Source organism: Homo sapiens, chromosome 2 (genome assembly GCF_000001405.40).
Source record: "Homo sapiens chromosome 2, GRCh38.p14 Primary Assembly".
Classification (NCBI taxonomy): domain Eukaryota; kingdom Metazoa; phylum Chordata; class Mammalia; order Primates; family Hominidae; genus Homo; species Homo sapiens.
In genome coordinates, this window is record NC_000002.12 from 231,551,989 (window position 1) to 231,561,423 (window position 9,435).

The 9,435-nt window shown below is 47.8% G+C and overlaps 1 pseudogene, besides 1 other annotated feature; it reads left to right on the plus strand.

The window, feature by feature from the left end:
• Positions 3,612–3,671: an enhancer, noted in NCBI's record as "active region_17292". NCBI's record gives its function as "activates an Ori minimal core promoter by ATAC-STARR-seq in GM12878 lymphoblastoid cells {active_cell/tissue: GM12878}" and the evidence as "EXISTENCE:reporter gene assay evidence [ECO:0000049][PMID:35858748]".
• Positions 7,860–8,409, plus strand: RPL21P35 (ribosomal protein L21 pseudogene 35; annotated as a pseudogene).

The following is a 9,435-nucleotide window of genomic DNA, read 5'->3' on the forward strand; positions in this document are numbered from 1 at the left end:
GACATGGTGAAACGGCATCTCCACTAAAAATACAAAATTACCCGGGTGTGGTGGCTCATGCCCGTGATCCCAGATACTGGGGAGGCTGACGCAGGAGAATCACTTGAACCTGGAAGATGGAGATTGCAGTGAGCCAAGATCACACCATTGCTCCCCAGCCTGGGCAACAAGAGTGAAATTCCATCTCAAAAAAAAAAAAAAAAAAAAAGAAAAAAGAAATCAAGTTGAGTTCAATATTTATTCCTCTTCATACAGAAGGAACCGATATTTAAACATATTAAAATCTCCATATTTTTCTCAAATAATATAATGAACTTAGAATATTTTAATGCCAATCTCCTCTCATCTTTGTGGTATTATCTTCTTTTTTTATTTTAAAAAACTTTTTTAAAGACAGGGTTTTGCTCTCTGTCACCCAGGCTAGAGTGCAGTGGCATGATCATAGCTCACTGCAGCCTCAAGCTCCTGGGTTCCCACCTCAGCCTCCGAGTGGCTAGGACTACAGGCAAGTACTACCATGCCTGGCTAATTAAAAAAAAAAAAAAAAATTGTAGAGACAGGTTCTCACTATGTTGCCTAGGCTGATCTCAAACTCCTGGCCTCAAGCAATCTTCCTGCCTCAGACTCCCAAAGCCCTGGGATTACAGGTGTGAGCTACTATGCCCAGCCCTGAAGTATTATTTTCTAGAAAACAAGTTAATATATGTAAAGTGCTTAAAACAATGCCTGGCATGTAGCAAGCACTATATGGGTCTTCTATTATAAGTGGTTGCATTAAAGTGAAATTGGTCTTTTTCTTTTCTTGTTTTAATTATGTAACACTTATTTACATTATTTAGCACAGGTTTGGCCATTTCTAGCTCCTCAAGTATGAACTCTCTCATTCTGTTATTCTCTTCCTCTGGAACTCTTGTTTAATGGCTGCTGCATCATTTCATTCTCTCCTCCCAACTCCATTTCTTTACCTCATTGTGATGCATTCTGGAAAATTTCTTCAGCTTTGTTTTCTAATTCACTAATTCTTTCTTTGGCTGTGTCTAAAATACCATTTCACTCATCCAATGATGTTTTTTCCTGTTCTGTAGTTGTATTTTTATAGCTATAACTTTTGTTTAATTATTTTTCAAATCTGCCTATCCTGTTTTCATTTTATTCAGTCCTTACATTATGGTTTATAGCTCTTTTTTTTTTCCTGTGAACACTTTAAACACTTTGCATTAGAGTACATTTTAGATTTTTCTATTAATTATATTCCTTGGGAGGCTATTCTTCCTATTTCCTTCTGACTGTTGCTTTTCTAATTTTTGACCCCTTGTGAGCTCAACTCAGTGGGGGATGCTTTCCATGGGAGTCTCTCATTCCTAAATTGTAGAAACAATCCTACAGAGAGGCTTTGCATTTGCCTCTCTCAAGCTGCCGAGATGTGCCAGTTATGCTAATTTCTTGGTCCCCTTTGTAATTTCAAAACCCCTGCCCAAAGCATTGAAGGCCAACATCTGGCTCCAAAACTCCATGAGCCATTTCAACTTCTCCTCCCACTAACTCTCTCATTTTATGTTCCCTTTGTATTCCCAGCACCCAGAGATTTTCTGCTCTTATTTAAAGCTGGTTGAGGGTTCAAAGCATTATTGAACTATATTTTCTTCAGTGTCTCCATGTGTAGTCATTTCTTATATACTTTCTTATTTTCTCATTTGTTTATAGCACACAGTTTAGCAAATAACTGTACACTATCTTGTCCATTACTTAAGTGTGTATATTTTCTCTCCCTGACAATATGTAGATGCTCCTCGTTATGGGCAGAATTGTCATCCCAAAATTCATAAGCTGAAGTCCTAACCCTCAATTAGTATGACTGTATTTGGACATAGGATCTTTGAAGAAGTAGAGTTAAATGAGGTCATGGGAGCGGGCTCTATCCAATATGACTGGAGTCCTTATAAGAAGACAAGATCAGGACTAGGCATGGTGGCTCATGCCTATAGTCCCAGCACTTTGGGAGGCCAAGGTGCACGGATCACCTGAGGTCAGGAGTTTGAGACCAGCCTGGTCAACATGGCACAACCCCATCTCTACTAAAAATACAAAAATTAGCTGGGTGTGGTGGCGTGCACTTGTAGTCCCAGCTACTCAAGAGGCTGAGGCAGAAGAATTGCTTGAGACTGGGAGGCAGAGGTTGCAGTGAGCAGAGATCGCATCATTGCACTCCAGCCTGGGTGACAAGAGCAAGACTCCATCTCAAAAAAAAAAAAAAAACAAAACCAAGATCAGGACACAGACACTCATAGAGGGAAGTCCACGTGAAGAAGCAGAGAAGGTGGCCATCTACAAGCCAGAGAGAGGCTTCCAAAGAAGCCAGTCCGGCTGACACCTTGATCTTGGACTTCAAGCCTCCAGAACCGTGAAAAAATTCATTGCTATGTTTTGAGCCCCCCAGTCTGTGGCAGTTTGTTGCAGCAGCCTCACCAGACTCACACATTTCCTTCCTTCGTCTGTGTACTCAGCCAGCACATACTCAGCCCTCATACTGAGCCAACACACCCATGCCCAGCACCAACTGCACACAGGGCTCACTGGAGACACACTGACATCTCGATTCCTTTTCCCACCCACTGCCCGCGTGGGGCTGTGGGCCAGGCTGGTCCCTGTCCACTATTTGTAAGCCTTCCCAGCCCTTTCTCCCGCTCCTCTGCCTCCATCCCCTAAATAAAGCAGTCTTCATGCGAGGCCTGGCCCTCTGCCCTCCCTCTGCAGGCTCCCTTCTCACTCCGCAGGGTGGTCCTTACCAAGGCTGCCCCTGCCCTCCCTCCAGGCCCAGCATCCAGGCTCAGCTCTTCCCCTGGCCCTGCTTCTTCCCACCACTGTCCTTTCCATGGTCCTCTGGACACGCCCACAGGCGAGGCCGCAGCTTTCACTTTCCCCATGAAGAGGACAGCTTCTTCACGTCTCCAGTTTGGACCTCCTGGACTCTCTGGCTCGGCTTTGACGTCTTCCTCTCCTCACCATCCACAGACAGTAAGTCCTGTTGATTCAGCCTCCCAGCTGTCTCCGCCTCTGCCCTCCCACGCCACCCCAGGCCACCCACTCTGCAGGGCCTCTTCCTCCCTGAAGGTCCTTCTGGCTTTTGTTTTCTTAAAGCTGAAGGTCTCAGGAGAACTTGGAGGGTTTACTGAGCAAGTAGAAGGAAAGAAGGGCAGAGTGTCTGACTGGAAGCAGGGGACAAGGTCCTCTGGTCCTCTCCCCCCAGTTAGAGGACAGGAGGGAAAGATGGGCAGGGGGGAGGTAAGGAGCAGCGAGAGTAGGAGGGCAGGGGGCCTGTTTCCTGGGTCCTGCTCCTGGACATGAGGCGAGACGAAGAGAGGGATGCTGTTGCCCTGAGACATCCAGGAAGAGGACCCAGGGCCACGTCAAAGAAGTCCTGAGGCCCAAGGGCAGCCCCAAGCTGTGGGGAGCAGCTGACCTTCAAGAATCTGGCAGAAAGACAAAGAGAGGCTGGGCACAGTGGCTCATGCCTCCAATCCCAACACTCTGGGAGGATGAGGTAGGCCGCTCACTTGAGGTCAGGAGTTCAAGACTAGCCTGGGCAACACAGCAAAACCTACAGAAAGTACAAAAATTAGCTGAGCATGGTGTTGTGCACCTGTAGTCCCAGCTACTTGGGAGGGTAAGGTGGGAGAATTGCTTGAGTCTGGGAGGTCAAGGCTTCTGTGAGCAGAGATCTGCCACTGTACTCCAGCCTGCCAGCCTGGGTAACAGAGTGAGATACTGTCTCAAAATAAATAAATAAATAAATAAAAGGCTGGGTGTCGTGGCTCACGCCTATAATCCCAATACTTTGGGAGGCCGAGGCAGGTGGATCATGAGGTCAGGAGTTTGAGACCAGCCTGGCCAACATGGTGAAACCCTGTCTCTACTGAAAATACAAAAATTAGCCAGGTATGGTGGTGGGCGCCTGTAATCCCAGCTACTCGGGAGGCTGAGACAGGAGAATTGCTTGAACCCGGGAGGCAGAGGTTGCAGTGAGCTGAGATTGCACCACTGCACTCTAGACTGGGCAACAAAGAGCAAAACTCTGTCTCAAAAAATAATAATAATACAAAAATTAGCCAGGCGTGGTGACACACGCCTGTAATCCCAGCTACTCAGGAGGCTGAGGCAGGAGAATCACTTGAACCCTGGAGGCAGAGGTTGCAGTGAGCCAAGATCATGCCATTGCGCTCCAGCCCGGGCACCAAGAGTGAAACTCTGTCTCAAAAACAAAAAACAAAAAACAAAAAACAAAAAAAAAAACAGCCAAAGAGAATCTTGCAGCCATGGTGTGGGTTACTGACTGGGGACCTGCTGCCCACCCACCCTGGCCTCAGCACGGGAATGACCTGGAAGGAGAGAGCCCTCAAGGGCTGAGATTAAACCCACCAAGAGTGGAAATTGGGGGCCAAAAGTAAGCCCTCTAAAGCTCAGCAATGAACTTAATTTGGAAATTTCTAACATTCATAGGCTTGGTATTTATTCCACTTGTTTCCTAGATGGAAAATATAAATACCCAGCTTAGCTGGAGGTAGAGATGAGAGACACACCAGGGGCACTGCTTGGTCAGGCCAGGGGGTCATGGAAGGTCAAGGGTCCAGAGGTCTGGCTCAAAAGTGATGTTGTTTTTTGTTTTTGTTTTTGTTTTTTTGAGACCGAGTCTCGCTCTGTCTTCCAGGCTGGAGTGCAGCGGTGCGATCTCGGGTCACTGCAATCTCTGCCTCCTGGGTTCAAGCAATTCTCCTCCCTCAGCCTCCCGAGTAGCTGGGATTACAGGCACGTGCCACCATGCCCAGCTAATTTTTCATATTTTAGTAGAGACAGGGTTTCACCATTTTGGCCAGGCTGGTCTCAAACTCCTGACCTCAAGTGATCCGCCCACCTCGGCCTCCCAAAGTGCTGGGATTACAGGTGTGCGCCACTGCAACCGGCTGAAAGTGATGTTTTAAATGAATGCCCATGAGAGAACCAAATGAAATGGGTACAGTTACCAAATGAAGTGACTCGATCTGAAACAGCTGATATCTAGACCGGATGAATTCGACCATCAGCCCAGGCTCTGGTGTCCTGGTTTTGCTCCTCCTCGGCAAGCCCCTGAAGGGCCCGGCTCCAAACCCAGTTGCTGGGTGGATTCCCCAGGCCCTGGGCCTGTGTCTTAACGGGTCTTAGACCACCCAGCAGGCCAGGTCCTTCATGGTCTCCCGGGAACACAGACCCAAGAGGGCCCAGCCAACTTCAAAGTCCAGAGCAAGTGTCCCAGGGCAGAGGGGCCACCAGGCTTCAGGCAGGGAGGAGAGTGGGCACCTCTCCTGCTGTTTCCAAGACACTCCATTGAGGCACACACAGTCTGTTCAGAAAAACCCCTCAGGAGGACAGTCCCGAGGGTTTCCCACCTGACCGTGGGTGCTCCTTCCTCTCCTGGCCTGGGACCCCTTTCCTAACTCTCTCACCCTAGGCTTTCCCCGTTCTAGTCCAGAAGCGCCCATGACTTGAGACCTTCCCCTCGGAATCACATTCCACCTCCGCCCGACGCCGGATTCTCCAATACACAGACCCCAACTGCGGACCAGGAACCCCCACTCACTGTGAGGGAGGGGCTCTGGCCCTCACACAAGCACCCTGAGGCCATGCTGCAGACAGGCGCTGGGGCAGTTGGAGTAGTCCCTGAAGCTGGGAGGGGCAGGGCAGCATCTCCAGTGGCTCTCATCTGCGTCCAGCAGGCAGATGGGGCTGTCACTGAAGTCAGGGAAAGGGGGAAACGGAAGGGGCTCAGGGTGCCTTCCTGGGCAGGAAGGAAAGCCGGCTGTCAAGGAGAGCCCAGTGGTCAATCGTTGGTGTCTCCCAGAGTCTCCTCACTGCTGATTGCAACTCAGACAGCTGGGCCCAGCCCGAGTTCCCAAGTCAGCCAGGCAGCGGCAGGCCCAAGAACACGCATGCCTAGGAAGTCTCCAGCGACACTCTACTGCTAGGTTAGGACCATGCCTTGAGAACTGCTGAGGCTCAAGTTTTGCTCTCTGCATCTGGAGTCAGCGTCCTGGGTTCCTGTCCCAAGTCTGCCCCCTGATGGTAAGAAGTTGCTTCTTCAGCCAAATTTCATAATTTACCTCCTGGGGTAGGTGTAAAGATTAAGTGATATACTTGGGAAAATTAGCACAATTCCTGGCACACAGTAAGACTGAAAAAAATTCCTTATCAACTGGTTGAGGTGTGGTAATTTGGGTGGAGGAAGCTGCTGGGTTTTTTGTTTGTTTTTGTTTTTTTAATAAGCCCTATAGAATTATTTGGCTTTAAAAAACATTACCTGAGCCGGGCACGGTGGCTCACGCCTGTAATCCCAACACTCTGGGAGGCTGAGGCGGGAGGATCACCTGAGGTTGGGAGTTTGAGACTAGCCTGACCAACATGGTGAAACCCTGTCTCTACTAAAAATACAAAAAAAAATTAGCCGCGTGTGGCAGCCAGCGCCTGTATTCCCAGCTACATGGGAGGCTGAGGCAGGAGAATTGCTTGAACCTAGGAGGCGAAGCTTGCAGTAAGCTGAGATCGCGCCACTGCACTCCAGCCTGGGCGACAGAGCAAGACTCCGTCTCAAAAAAAAAAAAAACAAGAAAAAGAAAGAAAAGTAAAGATAAATAAATACATAATAAATAAATACATAAAATTATATAAGATGTGGCGGGGCACAGTGGCTCATGCCTATAATCCCAACACTTTGAGAGGCTGAGGCAGGCGGATCTCGAGCCCAGGAGTTTGAGACCAGCCTAGCCAACATGGTGAAACCCTAACTTTACTAAAAAAAAAAAATACAAAAATTAGCTGGGCATGGTGGTGCATGCCTGTAGTCTCAACTTCTTGGGAGACTGAAGCAGAAGGGTCGCTTAAGCCTGGGAGGCAGAAGTTGCGGTGAGCTGAGATTGTGCCACCGCACACCATCTAGCCTGGCAACAGAGGGAGACCCTGTCTGAAAAAAAAAAGTATATATATGCTCTAATGACATTGAAAATGAGAAATCAACAGCTCTTCCCTGATCGTTTAAACATGGAAACATCTGTGGAAGATTGTATTATTGTTCCCAATCATTCACTCCCCCTTCCTGAAAGCTGAGTCCACCTTCTCTCTTATGGGGAAGGAGTATTCATCCAGCCCCACTGATCCCATGATGGCCTTTGCCAAGGGCACATGTGTGGACATGAGCCGTGCCCCTTCAGAGCAGAAACTGAGTGCCATTGCTCACTTGCTCTTGTCCTTGGCCACAAGACTGTATCCCACATGGGGGCTGTTGCTTTGGCTTGCAGTCTAGAATGAAGAAGAATTACAACCACACCTGACACACAGCCAAGAAGAGCCCAGCCACAACTAGCCTACAAAAGAAATGAAAAACAGGCTGGGCGCGGTGGCTCACACCTGTAATCCCAGCACTTTGGGAGGCCGAGGCGGGCGGATCACCTGAGGTTGAGAGTTCGAGACCAGCCTGACCAACATGGAGAAACCCCGTCTCTACTAAAAATACAAAAATTAGCCAGGTATGGTGGCACATGCCCCAGCTACCCGGGAGGCTGAGGCAGGAGAATCATTTGAACCTGGGAAGTGAAGGTTGCGATGAGCCGAGAGAGTGCCATTGCACTCCAGCCTGGGCAATAAGAGCAAAACTCCGTCTCAAAAAAAAAAAAAAAAGAAGAAGAAAGAAAGAAAACAGGCCTGGAGCGGGGGCTCACGCCTGTAATCCCAGCACTTTGGGAAGCCAAGGCAGGCAGATCACCTGAGGCCAGGAGTTTGAGACCAGCCTGGCCAACATGGAGAAACCCCATCTCTACTAAAAATACAAAAATGACTCCTTTTGGCCAGAACCGCCATCTTCCTGTAGCCATCTTCCTGTAATTCGCCAAAATTACGAACACAAAGGGAAAGAGGAGAGGTACCCGATATAGGTTCTCCAGGCCTTTTAGAAAACCTGGAGTTGTTCCTTTGGCCATGTATATGCGAATCTATAAGAAAGGTGATATTGTGGACACCAAGGGAACGGTACTGTTCAAAAAGGAATGCCCCACAAGTGTCACCATGGCAAAACTGGAAGAGTCTACAGTGTTCCCCAGCATGCTGTTGGCATTGTAAACAAACAAGTTCAGGGCAACATTCTTGCCAAGACAATTAATGTGCGTATTGAGCACGTTAAGCACTCTAAGAGCCGAGATAGCTTCCTGAAACACATGAATGAAAATTATCAGAAAAAGAAAGAAGCCAGAGAAAGATACCTGGGTTCAACCGAAGCGCCAGCCTGCTCACTTTGTGAGAACCAGTGGGAAGGACCCTGAGCTGCTGGAACCTCTTCCTTATGAATTCATGGCATAATAGGTGTTAAAAAAAATAACAGACCTCTGGACTGTAAAAATAATAATAATAATAATAATAATAATAATAATAATAATAATAATGGGCCAGGCACAGTGGCTCACGCCTATAATCCCAGCACTTTGGGAGGCTGAAGCAGGCGGATCACCTGAGGTCAGGAGTTCGAGACCAGCCTGGCCAACATGGTGAAACACCGTCTCAAGTGAAATACAAAAATTAGCCGGGCATGGTGGCACACATCTGTAATCCCAGCTACTTGGGAGGCTGAGGTAGGAGAATTGCTTGAACCTGGAAGGCGGAGTTTGCAGTGAGCCGAGTTCATGCCTCTGCACTCCAGCCTGAGTGACAGAGCGAGACTCCATCTCCAAAAAATAAAAAAATAAATAAATAAATAAATAAAATAAAAATACAAAAATGAGCCGGGTGTGGCAGCGGGCACCTGTAATCCCAGCTACTTGGGAGGCTGAGGCAGGAGGATCACTTGAACCCAGGAGGCAGAGGTTCCAGTGAGGCGAAATCACGCCACTGCACTCCAGCCTGGGTGACAGAGTGAGACTCTGTCTTGAAAAAATAAATAAAATTTAAAAAATGAAAAACAGGCAAGAAATAAGCCTTTATCATTGTGAGCCACTGAGATGTTGGGATGGTTTGTTATCACAGCTTAACCCTGTGAAAACTGACTAAAAAACATCCTATGATAAATTGGTTAAATAAAGTATGATGTGCCTATATGATGAGAATGTAGCTAGTAATTTTTTTTATTTTTTTATTTTTATTTTTATTTTTTATATTTTAATTTTATTTTTATTTTTTGAGATGGGGTCTCTTTCTGTTGCCCAGGCTGGAGTGCAGTGGTGCCATCTCAGTTCGCTGAAACTTCCACCTCCCGGGTTCCAGGGATTCTCCTGCCTCAGCCTCTTGAGTAGCTGGGATTACAGGCGCGAGCCACCACACCCGGCTAATTTTTTGTGTTTTTAGTAGAGACGGGGTTTCACCATGTTAGCCAGGATGGTCTCAATCTCCTAACCTCGTGATCTACCCACCTCGGCCTCCCAAAGT